This window comes from Homo sapiens, chromosome 8 (genome assembly GCF_000001405.40).
Source record: "Homo sapiens chromosome 8, GRCh38.p14 Primary Assembly".
Classification (NCBI taxonomy): Eukaryota; Metazoa; Chordata; class Mammalia; order Primates; family Hominidae; genus Homo; species Homo sapiens.
The window spans coordinates 100,050,469-100,072,461 of NC_000008.11; the positions used below are offsets into that span (position 1 = coordinate 100,050,469).

At 37.1% G+C, this 21,993-nt stretch overlaps 1 protein-coding gene across 14 annotated transcripts in view; it reads right to left on the reverse strand.

Annotated features, from left to right (window-relative positions):
* RGS22 (regulator of G protein signaling 22) overlaps positions 1-21,993 on the reverse strand; it is a 145,114-nt gene that overhangs the window by 89,533 nt on the left and 33,588 nt on the right. For 11 of the 14 annotated variants that reach the window (XM_017013310.3, XM_017013309.3, XM_005250856.4 and 8 more), the window contains exons 5-10: positions 21,677-21,762; positions 20,901-21,069; positions 15,699-15,828; positions 12,948-13,575; positions 12,123-12,284; positions 2,334-2,508 (exon numbers count right to left, since the gene is read on the reverse strand). In XM_017013310.3, coding sequence (XP_016868799.1) covers positions 2,334-2,508; positions 12,123-12,284; positions 12,948-13,575; positions 15,699-15,828; positions 20,901-21,069; positions 21,677-21,762 — 1,350 coding nt within the window. Of the gene's footprint in view, positions 1-2,333; positions 2,509-12,122; positions 12,285-12,947; positions 13,576-15,698; positions 15,829-20,900; positions 21,070-21,676; positions 21,763-21,993 lie in introns of those variants that run through there. The other 3 variants (NM_001286692.2, NM_001286693.2, XM_017013311.2) reach the window with 3 other exon arrangements.

The following is a 21,993-nucleotide window of genomic DNA, read 5'->3' on the forward strand; positions in this document are numbered from 1 at the left end:
CAACACTGCTTGTGGAAGTAAAACTTTAAAAACCACATTATATATCTTCTGCCTTTTAAAATAAGACATCCTGAATATAAAGCAATCTTTCCAAGAGGTTGTATGTGACTATATGGCCAATAACAGTTAACAGGTGACACCTTTAAGGGCTACTATGATTAATAAGGCTCTTTACTTCTGAAACACAGGTCGTATCTACAGTTACTGCAGCTCTATGCCAAAATGTAGGGTTATTTATTTCTTCTCTATATAGTTAACTTTTCTTCTCTTTTTGAACTTTCCCCCTTTATATTTTTGTACTGTTTTCCCCATTTGAAAAAATGCTCATGACTTATAATTCAGCTATTGCTACTTCTCACTCATTCATTCAATTTATACTTACTCAGCAACTATTATGTGCCAGGCACTGTTCTAGGCACTGGTGAAATGCACTTAAAGAAAAGTTCTTTACATTCTAGTAGGAGGTAAAAGACAATAAATAGATAAATCACATGGTAATAAATATAGTAAAGCAAAATAAAGGAGGGCAAAGGGTATAGATAGTGATGGAGGGTATGTGTGCTATTCTATGTAAGTGTGCTTATATAGAAATAATAAGCCTCAAGAATAGCCTCTCTGATTAAGTGGCACTTGAGCAGACACCTAAAGGAAGTGAGAGGGAAAGCCATCTGCATATCTGGAGGAAGAGTGCTCTAAGCAAGGCAAACAGCAAGCACAAAGCCCTGGAGATTTTTCTGTGGTGTCCTCAAAGAAGAGCAAGGAGACCAATGTGGTTGGAATGCAGTAAGCTAGAGTGGTAGGAAATGAAGTCAGAGGGTTAGCAGGAGCTTATACAACTGTGTAAAGACTTTGGATTTTATTCTGAGTGAAAAAGAAGACCACTGGAGAATTTTCAGAAGATGAGTGACATGATTTTATATATATTTTTATATATATATTTATTATATATATATACATTTATATATTTATATATTTATTTATATTATATTATATATAAATATATATTATATATATTTATATATAATATATAATAAATATATATAAATATATTTTTATATATTTATACATATATATTTATACATGTATTTATATAAATATATATTTATATATGTTTATACATATATAAATATATATTTATATATGTTTATACATATATAAATATATATTTATATATGTTTATACATATATAAATATATATTTATATATGTTTATACATATATATATTTATATATACGTATATATAAATATATATTTATATATACGTATATATAAATATATATTTATATATTTATATATAAATGTTTATATATATTTATATATAAATATATATTTATATATAAATGTTTATATATATTTATATATAAATGTTTATATATTTATATATTTATATATAAATGTTTATATATTTATATATTTATATATAAATGTTTATATATTTATATATTTATATATAAATGTTTATATATATTTATATATTTATATATAAATGTTTATATATATTTATATATAAATGTTTATATATATTTATATATTTATATATAAATGTTTATATATATTTATATATTTATATATAAATGTTTATATATATTTATATATTTATATATAAATGTTTATATATATTTATATATTTATATATAAATGTTTATATATATTTATATATAAATATATAAACATATATTAATATATATATAAATATATAAACATATATAAATATATAAACATATATAAATATATAAACATATATAAATATACACATATATATGTATATTTATATATAAATATATAAATGTATATAAATGTATATATATATTTATATACATATTTATATTTATATGTTTTCTTTTTTTTTTTGAGACAGAGTCTCGCTCTGTCCCCCAGGCTGGAGTGCAGTGGCGCTATCTCGGCTCACTGCAAGCTCCGCCTCCCGGATTCCCGCCATTCTCCTGCCTCAGCCTCCCGAGTAGCTGGGACTACAGGCGCCCGCCACCATGCCCTGCTAATTTTTTGTATTTTTAGTAGAGACGGGGTTTCACCGTGTTAGCCAGGATGGTCTTGATCTCCTGACCTCGTGATCCGCCTGCCTCGGCCTCCCAAATGCTGGGATTACAGGCATGAGCCACCGCGCCCGGCCATGATTGTATATTTTTAAAGGCTCACTTTGGCTGCTTGGTAGAGAACAGACTGTAGGTTTTCTTATTTCCTAAATGTTGCAGCTTGTACATTAGCAAAAATCACAACAAAGCTTGTAATGAAAATTATCAGTGCACAAACACTCAAGCATACATATTTTACTACAAACTTAGTAGAGATCACAGCATGAATGTACACCCTACCTGGATCTCAGGTATCTGTGGAATGCAAGATTTGGGTCTTAATGGCAAGAGGGTTGCCATTTGTGGAAAAGGGTCAATATCCTTCCTTGGTTTTGCTTGACGGAGGTGCCAGAATTTCAGTTCAGCACTAGCATATTTTGTTGAGGCTGAATGAGTAACACAGAATCTTGGTGCCCTGTTTATTGGAAAAATAAATGTAAGATTGAACTAAACAACAAGCCTCAAAAATGAAAAGCCTACAAAATACATAATAGCTGTGCTCACAATTAACAGTCTTGCCATACCTCTTTTCTAACAACTTTTACTTCTTTCTCTACTACATAGCCTTGAAAAAATATTTTTCTGTGATATGTCAGCTGCCTGCAATCCCATTGACTCATACAAAAAGGCAATATACATTGGGAAAAACATCATAAGTAAAATTATGTTCAAATTATTAGCTGCTTGATAAGAAAACTAAAAATATAAAAATTAGCTGGGCATGGTGATGGGCGCCTGTAACCCCAGCTACTCAGGGGGGTGAGGCAGGAGATTTGCTTGAACCCAGAAGGCGGAGGTTGCAGTGAGCCCAGATTGTGCCATTGCACTCCAGCCTGGGCGACAAGAGCAAAACTCCATCTAAAAAAGGGAGGAAGGAAGGAAGGAAGGGAGGGAGGGAGAGAGGGAGGGAGGGAGGGAGGAAAGGAAGGAAGGAATCTGTCTATCCATAAAGGAATTTTTAAAACAACTTACAGTTTCTAGTAAAATAAATATAAAATGTACTTGGGATAATTTTAAAGCACTTTGGCATTTATCTATAATAAAAATTGTTAGAATAAAATTAACGTTTAAAACATACAAACTTTTTTTTTTGACACGGAGTCTTGCTCTGTCACCCAGGCTGGAATGCAGTGGTGCGATCTCAGCTCACTGCAACCTCTGCCTCCTGGGTTCAAGCAATTCTCCTGCCTCAGCCTCCCAAGTAGCTGGGACTACAGGCGTGTGCCACCATGCCCGGCTAATTTTTTGTATTTTTAGTAGAGACAGGTTTCACCATGTTAGCCAGGATGGTCTTGATCTCCAGACCTTGTGATCTGCCCTCCTCAGCCTCCCAAAGTGCTGGGATTACAGGCGTGAGCCACTGCGCCTGGCCTATAAACATTTTTATAATGCTTAAGTATGCTACTAAAGTAGGTTATAATGCATACTATTTATTTTCAAGCCTTAAATTTGAAGGTAAGAATTAATTTTACAACAATTTATATAAATCAAAGACCAACATTACTGACAGAAACTTAGGGAAAAGAATGTCTGGCACAATATTAAGGCCACACTTAATTGGATAGATATCATGGTATTCAGTATGTGGGCTAACACTTTATTGGATATAGGGTTAACTCCAGCTGTAAGAGCCTGCTGCTAATTGCTTCTTGGACCAGGTCTTCCCCTTAATGCCACAGCCCAAAGACTAATTCTTATTCCATATTTCAAGGCCTGGTAGAAAATTACTTCCCTTTAAAATAGGAAGAATGACTATGCATGATGGCTCATACCTGTAATCCCAGTATTTTGGGAAGCCATGGTGGGAGGATTGCTTGAGGCCAGGAGTTCAAACCAGCCTGGACAACATACCAAGCTTGTCTCTACAGAAAAATTTTTCAAATTAGCTGAGCATAGTGGCATGTTCCTGTAAGTCCTATCTACTTGGGAAGCTGAGGTGAGAGGATCACTTGAGCTTAGCAGTTCCAGGCTGCAGTGAGCCATGACCATGCCACTGCAATCCAGCCTGACTGACAAAGTGAAACCTGTCTCTAAGAAAATTTAAAAAATTTTAAAAATAAAATAGGAAAAAGATGGATATCTCTCCTGATATGGACACAGATTGGGAGTGAAAGAGAATCCAAAGTCCATAATTAGTTTAGGATCAGAAAGCATTTGGTATAGATCTCTGTGGTCATTCTCTACTGTGTTTCAGAACCTTTACTTGCAGACTTGGAAATATTCAAAATTACTTATTTGCATGTCAACCAGTAAGGGGGCATATCTATAGACTTTTATCAAATAAATCATACATGGGATGGCTGGCAGAACTCCTCATGGCCCATGGTGATGGTGGTTGTGGGGTAAGGCTCCTCCACCTTTGGAAAGTGGAAGGAACAGTGGGAAGCACTACAAGTTATGCTTTGAGTGTCAGCTCAGCCACAGTACAATAGAACACCAGGTAGACTTCTAAGGTGCTTGACTCCAGTCCCTGACTCCTGGATGGCACCTCTGGACCCACCTAGGGCCTGTGGGAACTTGCCACCCTGAAGGGAAGGACACAAGCCTGGCTGGCTTTGCCACCTGCTAATTGTAGAGCCCAGGGCTTTGAGCAAACATACACAGTAGCCAGGGGGTGGTTACAGCAGGGCTTGGGCAAGACCCAGTGATATGCTAGCTTCAGATCTGACCCAGCACAGTCATAGTGGTGGTAGCTGCACTCCACTCCCAGCTTTAGGTGGCTCAGAACAGAAAGAGAGACTCTATTTGGGAGAAAGTAAGGGAAGAGAACAAAAGTCTCCACTTGGGGTCCAGAGGATTCTCCCAGATATTGTCCGAGACCATCCAGGAGGTACCTCTATGAGTTTGCAAGAACAACAGCATTACTAACCTTAGGGTGCCCCCTAAAGCAGATACAGCTTATATCACAATACCCAAGTCCTTTCAAATATCTGGAAAGCCTTCCCAAGAAGGATGGGTACAAAAAAGCCCAGGTAGTGAAGACTACAATATCTACCTCATATGGTTTGGCTCTGTGTCCCCACCCAAATCTCACCTTGAATTATAATTCCCACGTGTCATGGGAGGGATCCGATGGGAGGTAACTGAATCATGGGGGCAGGTCTTTCCCATGCTGTTCTCCTGGTAGTGAATAAGTCTTACAGTTCCCCTGCACAAGTTCTTTTGCCTGCTGCCATGTAAGATATCCCTTTGCTCTTCCTTTGTTTTCTACCATGATTGTGAGGCCTTTCCAGCCATGTGGAACTGTGAGTTCATTAAACCTCTTTGCTTTATATATTACCCAGTCTCGGGTATGTCTTTATTAGCAGCATAAGAATGAACTAATACAGTAAATTGGTACCAGTAGAGTGGGGTGCTGCTGTAAAGATACTGAAAATGTGGAAGCAACTTTGGAACTGGGTAACAGGCAGAGGTTGGAACAGTTTGGAGGGCTCAGAAGAAGATAGCAAGATGTGGCAAAGTCTGGAACTTCCTAGAGACTTGTTGAATGGGATTGACCAAAATGGTGATAGTGTGGACAATAAAGTCCTGGTTGAGGTGGTCTCAGACGGAGATGAGGAATTTGTTGGGACATGGAGCAAAGGTGACTCTTGCTATGTTTTAGCAAAGAGACTGGTGGCATTTTGCCCCTGCCCCAGAGATCTGTGGAACTTTGAACTTGAGAGAGATGATTTAGGGTATCCGGGGGAAAAAGTTTCTAAGCAGCGAAGCATTCAAGGGGAAGCAGAGCATAAAAGTTTGGAAAATTTGCAGCCTGATGATGCGACAGAAAAGAAAACCCATTTTCTAGGGAGAAATTCAAGCTGGCTGCAGAAATTTGCATAAGTAATGATGAGCCAAATGTTAATCGCCAAGACAATGGAGAAAATGTCTCCAGGGCATGTCAGAGACCTTCACGGCAGCCCCTCCCATCATAGGCCTGGAGGCCTAGGGGAAAAAAAATGTTTTTGTGGGCTGGGGCCCAGGGTCCCCCTGCTGTGTACAGCCTAGGGACTTGGTGCCCTGTGTTCCAGCTGCTCCAGCCATGGCTAAAGGGGGGCAAGGCACAGCTTGGGCCATGGCTTCAGAGGGTGCAAGTCCCTCTGAAGCCTTGGCAGCTTCCACATGGTGTTGAGCCTGCAGGTGCACAGAGGTCAGGAATTGAGGTTTGGGAAACTCTGCCTAGATTTCAGAGTATGTACGGAAACTCCTGGATGTCCAGACAGAAGTTTGCTGCAGGGGCGGGGCACTCATGGAGAACCTCTGCTAGAGCAGTGAGGAAGGGAAATGTGGTGTTGGAGCCCCCACAGAGTCCCCACTGGGGCACTGCCTAGTGGAGCTGTGAGAAGAGGGCCACCATCCTCCAGACCCCGGAATGGTAGATCCACCAACAGTTTGCACTGTGTGCCCGGAAAAGACGCAGACACTCAATGCCAGCCCATGAAGGCAGTCGGGAGGGAGGCCATACACTGCAAAGCCACAGGGGCAGAGCTGCCCAAGACCATGTGAACCCACCTCTCAGATCAGCATGACCTGGAGGTGAGACATAGAATCAAAGGAGATCATTTCAGAGCTTTAAGATTTGGCTGTCCTGCTGGATTTTGGACTTGCATGGGGCCTGTAGCCCTTTCGTTTTGGCCAATTTTTCCCAATTAGAGTGGGTTTATTTACGTCATTCCTGTACCTCCATTGTATCTAGGAAGTAACTGACTTGCTTTTGATTTTACAGGCTCATAGGCAGAAGGGACTTGCCTTGTCTCAAATGAGACTTTGGACTGTGGACTTTTGAGTTAATGCCAAAATGAGTTAAGACTTTGGGGACTGCTGGGAAGGCACGATGGTGTTTTGAAATGTGAAAGGAACATTAGATTTCTGGGAGGGGCCAGGGGAGGAATGATGTGATTTGGCTTTGTGTCCCCACCCAAATCTCACCTTGAATTGTAATAATTCCCATGGGTCATGGGAGGAACCCAGTGGGAGGTAATGGAATCGTGTGGGTGGGTCTTTCCCATGCTGGTCTTGTGGTAGTGAATAAGACTCATGAGATCTGATTTTTATAAATGGGAGGTCCCCTGCACAAGCTGTCTTGCCTGCTGCCATGTAAGACATCCCTTTGCTCTTCCTTTGTATTCTGCCATGATTGTGAGGCCTCCCCAGTCACATGGATCTGTGAGTCCAATCAACCTCTTTCCTTTATATATTACTCAGTCTCAGGCATGTCTTTATTAGTAGCATGAGAATGGACTAACTCTTCAATGCCCAGACACTAAAGAACATCTACTAGCTCAACATCATCCAGGAAAAAACAACCTCACCAAATGAATGAAATATGGCAACAGGGACCAATTCTGGAGAAACAGAGATATGTGACCTTTCAGACAGAGAATTCAAAATAGCTGTGTTAAGAAAACTCAAAGAAATTCAAGATAACACAGAGAAGAAATTCAAGATTCTATCAGATAAATTTAACAAAGATATTAAAATTGTTAAACAGAATCAAGCAGCAATTCTGGAGCTGAAAAATGCAACTCACATTTTGAAGAATGTATCAGAGTCTTAACAGCATAATTGATCAAGAAGAAAGAATCAGTGAGCTTGAAGACAGGCTATTTGAAAATACACAGAGGAGACAAAAAAAAAAAAAAACAACAACAATAAAGCATGCCTAAACAGTCTCAAAAGGGCAAATCTAAGAGTTATTGGCCTTAAAGAGGAGGTAGAAAAGAGATAGGGGTAGAAAGTTTATTCAAAGGGATAATAACAGAGAACTTCTCAAACCTAGAGAAAGATATCAATATCCAAATATAAGAAGGTTATAGAACACCAAGCAGATTTAACCCAAAGAAGACCACCACAAGGCATTTAATACTCAAACTCCCAAAGGTCAAAGATAAAGAAAGGAACCCAAAAGCAGCAAGAAAAATAAACAATATACAGGGAGCTCTAATACATCCAGCAGCTGACTTTTCAACAGAAACATTATAGGCCACGAGAGAGTGGCATGACATATTAAAAGTAATGGCAAAAACTGCAATAACTTTTGCACCAACCTAATATTTAACGTGCTGAAGGAAAAAACTTTTACCCTAGCATAGTATATCCAACAAAAATATCCTTCAAATATGAAGGAGAAATAAAGACTTTCCCAGACAAACAAAAGCTGAGGGATTTCATCAACACAAGACCTGTCCTACAAGAAATGCTAAAGGGAGTATTTCAATCAGAAAGAAAAGAATGTTAATGAGCAATAAGTAATCACCTGAAGGTATAAAACACACAGGTAATAAATAGCAAGTAAACAGAAAAACACAGAATATTATAACACTGTAATAGTGATATGTAAACTACTTTTATACCAAGTAGAAAGACTAAACAATGAACCAATCAAAATTAATAATTACAGCACCTTTTCAAGACATAGACAGTACGGTAAGATATAAACAGAAACAACAAAACATTTAAAAGTGGGGAGGACAAAGTTAAAGAAGTTTTCTTTTTGCTTGTGTGTTTATGCAGTGTTAAGTTCTCATCAGGTTAAAATAATGGATTATAAGATAGTATTTGCCAGCCTCATGGTAACCTCAAACCAAAAAACATACAATGGATACACAAGAAATAAAAAGCAAGAAACTAAATCATATCAACAGAGAAAATCACATTCACTAAAGGGAGATAGGAAGGAAGGAAGGAAAGAAAGAACACCACAAAACAACCAGAAAACAACAAAATGGCAGAAGTCCTTACTTATCAATAATGATATTGATGTAAATGGGCTAAACTCTCCAATCAAAAGACACAGTGGCTGAATGGATGAAAACACAAGACCCATTGATATGGTGCCTACAAGAAACACACTTCACCTACAAAGACACATACAAACTAAAAATAAAGGGATGGAAAAACATGTTCCATGTCAATGGAAACAAAAAAAAAAAAGCAGGAGTAGCTATACTTCTATCAGACAAAACAGATTTCAAGACAAAAACTGTAAGAAGAGACAAAGAAGGTCACTATATAATGATAAAGGGGTCAATTCAGTAAGAGGATATAACAATTTTAAATATATATGTACCCAACACTGGAGCACTCTGATATATAAAGGAAATATTATTAGAACTACAAAGAGAGATAGGTCCCAATGCAACAATAGCTGGAGACTTCAACCTCTGACTTTCAGCATTGGACAGATCCTCCAGAGAGAAAAATAACAAAGAAATTGTATCAAAGTCAATGTCCTCATTGTGATATTGTACTATAGTTATGCAAGATGTTACCATTGGGGAAAAATATATGAAAGATACACAGTATATCTTTGTATTATTTCTTTTTTAATTTTTCTTTATTTTAAAAAAATGGTTTTAATAAAATAGAGATGGAGTCTTACTGTGTTGCCCAGGCTGGTCTCAAATTCCTCGCCTCAAGCGATCCTCCTGCCTCAGTCTCCCAAAGTGCTGAGATTACAGGCATGAGCCATCATGCTTAGCCTTCTTTGACTATAAGTTTACAGTTATCTTAAAATAAAAAGTCTACTGTAGATAAGTGACACAATCAGATCGATCACACTCACATGGAACAATTCACCGATCTTCAAATGGTATATATTTTTTTCCACTATGCCCATTCTCTTTCCCTTGCTTCAAGTCCCTCAAGTTCCCAGGTAAAATATTACCTCCTCTCTATATCCTGTGCATATACCATACTTTCTTTTATTATACTAATGTCACATGTATGTTCTTCCCATCACACTATGAGCACAAGGATTTGATCATGTTTCACCCTTGTATTCTCAGCATAGCACTTAGTCTATAGTAATACTCAAAAAAAGTTTATTAAGATGATAAATCTGCAACTTTAGCTACGTGTATATATATATATATATATACACACACACACACACACACGCACCCCAACTTTATGAAATACCAATCATAAAAATGTCACATATAGAAGAATGTGCTCCAAGCTGACAGCCAAATCAGGAACATACCCCTATTCACAACTGCCACAAAAAACATACCTAGGAATATAGCTAGCAATATAGCTAGGAATACCTAGGAATACAACTAAGAAGGGAGGTGAAAATTTTCTACAAGGAGAACTACAAAACATTGCTCAAAGAAATCAGAGGTGACACAAACAAATGGAAAAACATTCCATACTCATGGATAAGAAGAATCAATATAATTAAAATGGCTATACTGCCCCAAGCAATTTATAGATTCAATGCTATTCCTATTAGACTACCATTGAGATTCTTCACAGAACTAGAAAAAACTATTTTAAAATTCATATGGAACCAAAAAGAGCCTAAACAGCCAAGGCAATCCTAAGCAAAAAGAGTAAAGCTGGAGCCATCACACTACCCGAATTCAAACTATACTACAGGTCTATGGTAACCATAACAGCATGGTACTGGTACAATAACAGACACACAGACCAATCAAACAATAGAGAATGCAGAAATAAGACCACATACCTACAACTATCTGATCTTTGAAAAACCCAACAAAAACAAGCAATGGGGAAAGAATTCCCTATTCAATAAATGGAGCTAGGATAACTGGCTGGCCATATGCAGAAGACTGAAACTGGATCCCTTCCTTATACCACACACAACAATTAACACAAAAAGACTTAAATGTAAAACTTAAAAGCTATAAAAACCATGGAAGACAACCTAGGCAATACCATTCAGGACATAGGCACAGGCAAAGATTTCCTGACAAAGATGCCAAAAGCAATTGCAACAAAAGCAAAAATTGACAAATTGGATCTATCTAAACTAAAGAGCTTCTGCACAGCAAAGGAAACTATCAACAGAGTGAACAGACAACCTATGGAATGGGAGAAAATTTTTGCAAACTATGCATCAAACGAAGATCTAATATCCAGCATTTGTAAGGAACTTAAACAAATTTACAAGAAAAAAAGCCATTAAAAAGTAGGTAAAGGACATGAACACTTTCAAAAGAAGACATACATGTGGCCAACAGTCATATGAAAAGAAGCTCAACATCACTGATCATTAGAGAAATGCAAATCAAAACCACACTGAGATACCATCTCAAGCCAGTCAGAATGGCTATTAGTAAAAAGTCAAAAAATAACAGATGCTGATGAGGTTGTGGAGAAAAAGGAAGACTTATACACTGTTGGTGGGAGTGTAAATTAGTTCAACCACTGTGGGAGATAGTGCAGCAATTCCTCAAAGCCCTAACAAGAGAAATACCATTTGATACAGCAATCCCATTACTGGGTATATACCCAAAGGAATATAAATCATGCTATTATAAAGACACATGCATGTGTATGTTCATTGCAGCACTATTCACAATAGCAAAGATAAGGAATCAACCTAAATGCCCATCAGTGATAGACTGGATAAAGAAAATGTGGTACATATATACCATGGAATACTATGCAGCCATAAAAAAGAACAAGTTTATGTCCTTTGCAGGAATATGGATGGAACTGGAGGCCATTATCCTCAGCAAACTAACACAGGAACAGATAACCAAATATATCATGTTCTCACTTATAAGTGGGAGCTAAATGATGAGAACACATGGATACACAGAGGGGAACAACACACACTGGGGCCTATCAGAGGGTGGAAGATAGAAAGGAAGGAGAGGATCAGGAAAAATAACTAATGGATATAAGGCTTAACACCTGGGTGATGAAATAATCCATACAACAAACCCCTAATGACACAAGTTTACCTATGTAACAAACCTGCACATGTACCCCTGTACTTAAAATAGAAGTTAAAAGTAAATAAATAAATAAAACATAAATTCTGCTGAAAAAAAAAAAGAATATGCTCACCAAAGTTAAAAGGCAACTTAAATACTGTCCCACCTTATTATGGATTTAAAGTCACCCAAACATCCAAATTATCTAAAGGACAAGTACCTTAAAGAAGGCCAAAGATACAATAGTCTTGTCATTTTATGTTTCCATAAGTTATATATCCGTAAGACAAAAAAAGTATAACTCATAACTGGCGTAAGGAAAGTGAAAGTAAGTAACTGATTCATGTTTTCTTACCAATACAGAAGTAAAGGTTTTAAAACTTCAGACTGAATATTTCTTAAATGCTCTTCATTCCACTGTGATCCATCTAACAGTTTAAATTTTGATAAGATTTCTGCAGAAAGGTAGTAATCTCCATTGCTCACTAGATAGCATTTTTTCATCTTCTCAAGATGTCTGAAATAAAACACATTTCCATATATACACACACACATTGGTAGAATATTCAACTACCAAAATGTAGTTGAATATTCAGGAGAATAAACACAAGTTAAAGACTTTCCTAAAACAGGGTTCTCTTAAGGTTCTTCAACTTACAGTAATCTAAAACATACAGAGCTGACCAAAGACCTGAGCCCCATCAGACCTCCAAGAAGTTCTCTAGTGGAGAGACTCATCCAGATACCCAGCTACCTGGCATCCAACCAAGGTTATGGAATTTGTTAACCAAGCAGGCTGCTAGGGAGAGTAGGTGTCTATTTTATGCTAGTGTGGTTATATAACTGATAAATTATTTTATTCTATAAAAATTATACATCATTTTAATGTTATAAAAATGAAAATAGAATAATTAATTTGAAAGTAGTTCTAGAATGTATGGGCAGAAACATTACGCAAACCCAAATAACTGTTATCATTAGTATCTGAAAACTATGAAATCAGAAAACTAGTGTGATCAATATTTACTATTATAATAAGTTTTATTATCATTCATTCCTCCAAGAGTAAAAAATTACATTTTTTAAAATTTACTTTGGGCTTTCTCCCTGTGCTAAATAACCCAAATTAATATTCATAATTTGTTTTTAAAACTATTGAAAAATAAAAAAATAGAATTACCTTTGATGTCTTCCAGGATCCTTAAGAACTTTTAACCTCTCAATATCCATCCATAGCCACCAATATCTCTCTCCCAATGTACCTTTTATAAATTTCTTAAATCTTTCAAACTCCTTTCTATTGCCAATGTCATAAGTCCTATGAGAAATACACCAGTCCGCCCTGCTCTCTGGTCCAGCGCTCTCATTCTTTGAACTTAAACTTGTTTGTTCTATCTCTTCTGACCTCTCCTTTGTAGTTTGAACTAATTCACTTAAAAAATTCTTGCCATGAATAGACTCAAAACAATCATCAAATGACACTTTTGTTATATTGTTGAAGTTTATATAGTCTGGGGTTTCTCCAACTGGCTTTCCAACAATTTGCTGAATTGCTCCTCTCAAAATAAAGTATATATAGGAGCTTAAAAATTCTTCACATGTTGAGAAATGCATTGTCAGGCTTTCATCAACATCCTGTTTCTTTTCAAGGTATACTCTCAGAAGAGCTTGAGAAGGAGTGTCTTGTAGAGATACAGACACCTCTTCTTCTTCTCCTTCTTCTTCTTCAAATTCAGAAATCAATTTGTTGGTTTTAGATGGGTCCTTTTTTGTCCTAGGGTGAACTCCATCATCAAAGATAAAATTCTCTGTATTAAGTCATAAAAAGCTATTAGATTAGATATGAATACAAACCTTTCTTATTATTAAATAGATGCTATAGAGCCAGAATGGCAAATGGGTTTATCATAGGTAGTGACTGCATGGACCGGTGTCTTAAGAAGGATTCTGGGCCAGTCACGGTGGCTCACGCCTGTCATCCCAGCACTTTGGGAGGCCATGGTGGGTGGATCACTTGAGGTCAGGAGTTCCAGACCAGCCTGGCCAACATGGTGAAACCCCTTCTCTACTAAAAATACAAAAATTAGCCAGGCTTGGTGGCACAGTAATCCCAGCTACTCTGGAGGCTGAGGCACAAGAATCGCTTGAACCCAGGAGATAGAGGTTGCAGTGAGCTGGGAGCATACCACTGCACTCCAGCCTGGGCAATAGAGCAAGACTCTGTCTCAAAAAAGAAAAGAAAAGAAACAAAAAAGAAAAAAAAGAAGGATTCTGAGGCTACATTTGGAACCAGTAGAAAAAAACTGCCAATGGGAATTAACCTTGTCTTCCCTGGATTTGGAGGAAAAGAATGGTGGCAGATGGACTAAATATTTGACATCCCTAACACACAGAAGATATACAAAAATACATTATGTACTTTTAAAATGTAATATTCCAGACTAATATATAATATCAATATATAAGGGCCAAATCTATTAAGGAATTAGAATATGTATACTAAATGATTATATGTGCTTTGATATTTCATGTTGTATGATAAAAGAAAATTCACTACCATAGATTGAGACCATGTATGAACAGACCAGAACTGGAAACAATAATAGCAAGTTTTAAAATTCACCATTTCATTAAAAGATTCAATTACTATCAAACTTACAGTCTATCATTAAACTTACAAAATGGCACGAGATACTTATGAAGGTTTACAAAGGGATTATTTGTATGCTTTTTCTAAAGATATAGTATTCAGCTCCTATTTTCTCTTTCAAAAATCAGTGACATGTCTGACGTTAGTGCTTTATTTCACATAGTAAATCTGCGCCTTGAATTGCCACAGATCAGTTAACTGTTGTCATCCATGCCCCATTCTCAATGACCATTTTCTCAATTACCAGAGTTCAAATCTCAATGAACTGGAAACATTTCATTACAATTTTTATTGCAAGTAAATTCCCCAATATTGAGAGATTAGACTTTGTAAATCTGTGAGAGGATGCTGGATGTACACTCAATCCCATGGAACTGAAGGGAGGATGTCGCACAGAGCGAGGCAGGCATTCCAGCTCACCATCTCCTGCCATCCTTCTCTTCCTGTATACTATTTTTATCTCCAATTATATACTTCAATATTTTGGGAAAACAACAAGAAGCCTATGAATCCAGGTATTTTCAATTGGGGAGATTATTTTCTTCTTTACCTAGACTCAGGTTCAATTCTAGGGAATCCAGATTTAACTTCCCCAGAGGTTGCTTATACTTCTTAAAGAGATTAGTTAAGAACTGTAAGTGAATTCCTGGGTTCTTCTTCTGAGTCCTCACACTTAAGTTTTTTTCTCTAACAATATCACTGTTAATGACTCCCATTTCTGGAAGATTCCTTTTATTTTTATGAAAAGTCAGTATATCCACAAAGCTCCCCACAGTAGAAATTTATCTGCTTTTTAAGGTGAAAAATAGTCTGAACTTAAAAACAGAAGGGAAACTCAATTTCCATCAATAATTTTTTTTTAGGAAGGGAAAAATGTTGTACCCACTTTATTGCAAAGACTTAACAAGAATTTATAAACTGTGATAAGAAATAATGACATTGATTGACTGCATATTAGGTACCAAGCACCAGGCCAGGCATTTTCTATCCATTTAGTATATATCATTATTCTAATCTTACAGATGAGAAAAGGCAAGGCTCCCAGAAGTGGAAAAACTCATCAAACATCACACAGCTAATAAATATCAGAGTTGCATTCTAAACCCATCTCCTTTTCACTATACAAAGTTGTCTCTCAAAAAACATAGGAAGTCGAGTGAGGCAAAGCGTATGTGGATAATTTTTTCTCCCCAACCACTAAGTACTGTACTGTAAAATTAGAACAAACAAACAAAAACTTAAAGAGAAGTTCTGAAGTCATTCTTGTCCTTTTCTGCTTACCAGAAACAGATGAAATAGCTGGTGATTTAAGTTTGTTGTAGGGTACACAACAGGGTAACGAAAAGGTTGATACTGTTTGCTGACTTTGTTTTGCTAATGCAAACCAATCTTTTGTTTGAGTATAGGAAGCCTAGGAAGAAGGGAGCATATTAGTTTAACATATGATTAGCAGTATTACTCTGATCACAAACCTGGAAAAATCATTATAATAATATTCAACTTGCACAGTACAATATGTAAAGTGAAAATTATCTCATGAAGGAAAATAAAATTCTACTGAAAAAATTAATTAGCTAAGAGGACACTGAAGGAAATTTCAATCCAGATTTTTTTTTCATATTTGATAACCAAAGGAAAATATGTGTCCAATACCTATAAATTCTCCACTCTCACTCTCAGACTATTGTTGACCAAAGGCATGAAACCCTACTTCCTGGATTCACTACAATCCTGGTGATGGGCAGTCACCAGGCCCATCAATCCTTTTGCTAGCTGCTCCCCTTTACAACTTTCCCAATTACTTCAGGTCCCCCATTCTGTCTCACCTGGCTCAGTGTTTTTAACAACTGCTCCCCCAGTATGACAGAGACACTATTCTTAGTGCCACTGGAACCTCTCCAAACTCAGCTGCCCCTTTGCATTAGATTCAGTTTTCACAAGTTTGCTTAGATTGAATGCTTCTTGCAGACTGATTCCTGACTCCATCTGCCCCTGAATGGAGCATTCCATTTTTCCTTTCCTCTATGTACCCCTGAACTAGCCAATTCAATTCTGAAGTTGATCCTTAGCTTCTAGAACCCCAGCCCTAAGAAGCTCCTATCCTAGCCTTCTTGGGAAGATTCCTCTGCCTGCCTCTCTCTGTAATGTCCTTTTTTATTTTTACTAGAGAATCCAAGTTGTTCAACAAGAGCAGAGAAGAGAGTTTCCAGCATTCCTCTCATTTCTGATTTATCCAACTCAGTCAGCTGGTTGGTCAGCACTTAGTCTAAGAAACACTTGGAGAATAGGTACCTCAAATGGAAGAAAAATTACTCCCTATCTATTAAGCAGAATTAACATAGCAAGTCAAGCCACATAAGAAGACCAAAGCAAGACAGAGAAATCAGAGGTGGCATCTATGTAGTCACCATCCCTCTTAGAGGTAAGGTTTCCTGGGTGCATAAAAGCTTTCAAAGACTAATTCACTTTTGTTCCCCTTTTCCTTTAAAATCAAGTTACTTATTATTAATTATACATTCATCTAACATATAATTATCGAGTGACTACTTTATTCTAAGCAATAGCCTAAGCAGGAGGCCAAAATAATTAAGAAACATTCAAGGAGTTCAGAGAGACCAACATACAAGGTCCTTGCTATTTCAACTGCAAAAAAAGAATGAGGGAGTAGGACACAGGAGAGAAAGAAGTCATCAGTCAGACTTTAACATCTTTAACATAATTATTCCACTTTATACATTTTTTTTTTTTTTTTTTTTGGAGACAGAGTCTCACTGTGTCACCCAGGCTGGAGTTCAATGGTGCAGTCTCGGCTCACTGCAACCTCTGCCTACTGGGTTCAAGCAATTCTCCCACCTCAGCCTCCCGAGTAGCTGGGATTACAGGCGCCCACCACCATGCCTGGCTAATTTTTGTATTTTTAGTAGAGATGGGGTTTCACCATGTTGGTCAGGCTGGTCTGGAACTCCTGACCTCATGATCCGCCCGCCTCAGCCTCCCAAAGTGCTAGGATTACAGGCGTGAGCCACCGCGCCCGGCCTATACTTTTAAGAGATGTGCCAATTGTTTTTTAGATGGTATAACTTAGGGCTCAAAGAAATATTACCAATTATCATGAAGATTAATCCCTATGTATAATCATGACATAAATAATGTAAGGGTCCAAGAACTTTGAATCTGCAAAATTCAAAAGCTATTGAAAAATGGTAATATATAGTTAAAGCGGCAATGTGTGGTGGTTCATGCCTATAATCCTAGCACTTTGGAAGGCTGAGGTTGGAGGATGGCTTGAACCCAGGAGTTCAAGACCAGTCTGGGCAACATAGACCCCGTCTCTACAAATAATTTTTTAAAAATTAGCCAGGAATGGTGATGCACTCTTGTAGTCCCAGCTGGGAGGCTGAGGCGGGAGAATCGCTTGAGCCAGGGAGGTTGAAGCTGCAATGAGCCATGATTGCATCATTGCACTCTGGCCTGGGCAACACAGTGAGGCCCTGTCTCAACAAAAAACATTTTGTATATATATATACAGTGTTAAAGTATTACTCAAGTGAATACAAATGAGTTTTTTAATCTCAGAAAATAGCAAAGGTAAACTAGTTTGGATTTTAACTCCCTTATATTTAATTAAATTCACATATAGCAAATCAGAACTTATTCCCCAGATTGATTCTTCCCTTTACATGTTTATTGACCTCAACTATGAGTACATATTTTTTAGGACATTTCCAACATTTCTATAGTATATAAATTAAGGGAAAAAATATGGCCAGGCATAGTGGCTCACGCCTGTAATACCAACTCTTTGGTAGGCTGAGGTGAGTGAATTGCTGGAGCTCAGCAGTTCAAGACCAGCTTGGGCAACATGGCAAAACCCCGTCTCTACAAAAAATATACAAAAATTAGCAGGGAGTGGTGGCATATGCCTGTAGTCCCAGCTACTTGGGGGGCAGAGGCAGGAGGATCCCTTGAACCTTGGGAGGTCAAGGCTGCAGTGAGCTGAGATTGTACCACTGCACTCCAGCATGGGTGATAAAGTGAGACCCTGTCTCAAAAAAAAAAAAAAAGAAAGAAGAAAAAATACTTAAAATCAGTATAAGAGAGAAGAAAAATGTGCCTTAAATACACCACTAAACATTATCCAGTGGAAATAATGGAACTGGCATAACTGTGAACATTTTTGACAAATATTGCTGATAGAAATGCTGAACTACAAAATTAATAGCAGATGCAAATGAAAAAAAAAAGTTCAAGTAACCTTAGCCTATCTATTCCAACACAGAAAGCAAAGAGGCTTCCTCTTGTATGATAATTTTGATCAACTGAAAGTGCCTTATTTGCAAGTTTGGAAGTGCCTATCCAGAATGCTGTGTTGTAAAGAATCTGGAGCCAAATCCTAGCTCAGCAGAAAAAATTTCCACAATTGATTAACAATATCTGTCATAGGGAGTAGCAGCACAAGGGCTACATAGATGCCATTCCTGATTTTGTATAGAATTGTGTATTAGAAGTATAGTTCCAGAGATAAGATCTAACAATTAGAGGCCAAAGATCAAATAACAGTTCTCACTACATTATGACTCTCCAAAAGGACATTTGATTCTAGGTTAAATCTCTTCAAATGCTCTCATACAACCTCACATTTCTCTAATCATGGAGGACAAATGTATTTGATAACAACTAAACAATAACACATTTTACTACTAAGGAATAACCTAGAGAACAGGAAGGAAAAGACTCAATTTATCTTTTTGTACAAAAGAAATGAATCCAAATTATAGCAATTTTGGAATGAACAATGAAACCATGGATATAATTCAAGTTACTCTTGCTTCCCAGGTGACACAGCATGTTCTTCAACCTTGCCTTTGTCTCTTCAGACACGAGGATAATATTTCTAACTACATTTCAAATTAAAGGGAGCAGAGCACCTGACCTCGTGATCGACCAGCCTGACCAACATGGTGAAACCCCATCTCTACTAAAAATACAAGAATTAGCCAGGCGTGGTGGCACGTGCCTGTAATCCCAGCTACTCGGAAGGCTGAGGCAGGAGAATTGCTTGAATCCTGGAGGTGGAGGTTGCAGTGAGCAGAGATCATGCCACTGCACTCCAGCCTGGGTGACAGAGCAAGACTCTGTCTCAAAAAAAAAAAAAAAAAAAAACAAAACAAAACTAGGAGAGTCAACTAAGAAAAATAACGAATCTAAGTGATAAATATTCAAGAAATTCTCTAAATAAGAGATTTATTTACAATTTTAACATCTCAGAGTTCTTTTTAGGTTTCCAGGGGAAAAGAGCAGGATAACAGTGTGGAGACTGCTAAGTTGAGAATTTAAAACAAATGAGAACATAAGATTTTTAAAATAGCACTGTGAATGTAAAATTTTTATCAATCCTTTGCTCTCACTCTTCTAGACATATTGAGAAAATGTTAAATAGAAAAAATTGAGAAATTTTAATAAGATGTTTCAGATCTTTGAGTATGAAAAATATAACGAAAAAGCCTAATTTCAAAAAACTATTTGAGATCAAGGGACAATGGTGTGACCAATATGAAGGGTCAAGACTGAAATGTATTGTCTTTACTATCAAGAACTCTACTTTCAGTTTTTTCTCGGACAGTTAATTTCAGCTTCATAGAGATTTCTGACCAAATTAAGGAACACTGTTTTCCTGGGTTTTGGGTATATGTCATTATAGCTATGTTATTTCTTGTTGAAATTTATAATTGTGGGTTTTTTGTATTGTTTTAGTATTTAATGGTGTATAATGTGTTATTAAATCATATGTAGTTATGCCAAAAAAAAGAGAGCAGAGCAAATTAGTTAGCATAAATCTACAAGAATTATTGCTAAATCTGCTTTACATGTATTTGAAATCATTTTTTCTGTTCAGGTAATACTAATGCCTTAAAATGAGAAGTTCTGGCCAGGTGTGGTAGCTTACGCCTGTAATCCCAGCACTTTGGGAGGCAGAGGTGAATACCAAAAAAAAAAGAGAGCAGAGCAAATTAGTTAGCATAAATCTATAAGAAGTATTGCTAAATCTGCTTTACATGTATTTGAAATCATTTTTTCTGTTCAGGTAATACAAATGCTTTAAATGAGAAATTCTGGCCAGGCGTGGTAGCTTACGCCTGTAATCCCAGCACTTTGGGAGGCGGAGGTGAGTGGATTCCTTGAGCCTAGGAGTTCGAGACCAGCCTGGGCTACATGGTAATACCCCGTCTCTACAAAAAATGCAAAAAAAAAGTTAGCCAGGTGTGGTGATGCATGCCTGTAGTCCCAGCTACTCAGGAGGCTGAGATGGGAGGATCAGCTGAGCCCGGGAGATGGAGGCTGCAGTGAGCCATGATCATATCACTGCACTCCAGCCTGGTGACAGAGTGAGATCCTGTCTCAAAAAATATATGTATAAAATAAAAAATAAAATCAGAAGTGTTAGTGAAGCGCTAAGTCATGAAAAAATGCTCATACTTTTACCTCACCAAGTGATACATAGAACTTTTTCATAATTACAAGATTATCTTCTTCAGTGGCAGGAGGTGGTAGACTGGGTGGTTTTTTCACGATCCAGGGAGAAAAATTTGATCCTACTGTGAAATTCATGCCGGACTTGCTCCATCTTACTTGTGAGACCAATTTGGCTAACCTGCATTTTAGAAATCATACAAATTTAAAACAAGTTTCAAATATGGCAGAATTCAGGGAAAAAACCTAAAATTTTATGTATTCAAGCCAATCTCCTCTCCTCACTCTTGATGATGATTTTCTTTGGCTCTGCTAAAATTAATAGCTTATTCATAAAACTACTAATTAGTTAATAATTATTCATTTTAATTGATTTTGACTTAAAAATTGTTGTTCAGAGGTCAAATTTTAGGTTCTTACATGTTAAAAGTCAGGGAACATAAAGGAAAAACTTGGCTCTGGACTACGGCATTCTATGTTTTTCGCGTCACACTAGTATTCATTGTTAAACGCCCTGCACCTAAATACCATTATCACCAATAGATAATTTTTAAAATATGGCTGGTTGGAGAGGCTCACGCCTGTAATCCCAGGTTTTGGGAGGCCAAGGCAGGAGGCTCTCTTGAAGCCAGGAGTTCGAGACCAGCCTGGGCAATATAGCAAGACCCTGACTCTACAAAGAATTTAAAAGATTTGCCACACATGGTGGCATACAGCTGTAGTCCTAGCAAATTGGGAGGCTAATATATATGTATTTAAAAATACATATATTGATGGGACTATAGTACCTGTATTCAAAGTAACAATCACTTTCCAGAAATGCTGGAAGTCTTTCTTTTTTGATCCACTTAATACCTTCTTCACGACTGAGACACTATGAGAAGAAAGAGAAAAAGAAAAAGAAGGTCAGAGAAAATCACTTTTAGGATGATTAACACCTAATAGTGAGAGCAATAATGACCTCCAGCTGTCAGCAGGAGCCCTACCCCTAGGTCTTCTATTTCCACTAGAGAGATCAATAAACCTGAGCCACAAATGTGAGGCACTTCTTGCCCCTGGTACGTTTTTAATTCTCTTAACAATCCTATATTAACTATATGTTATT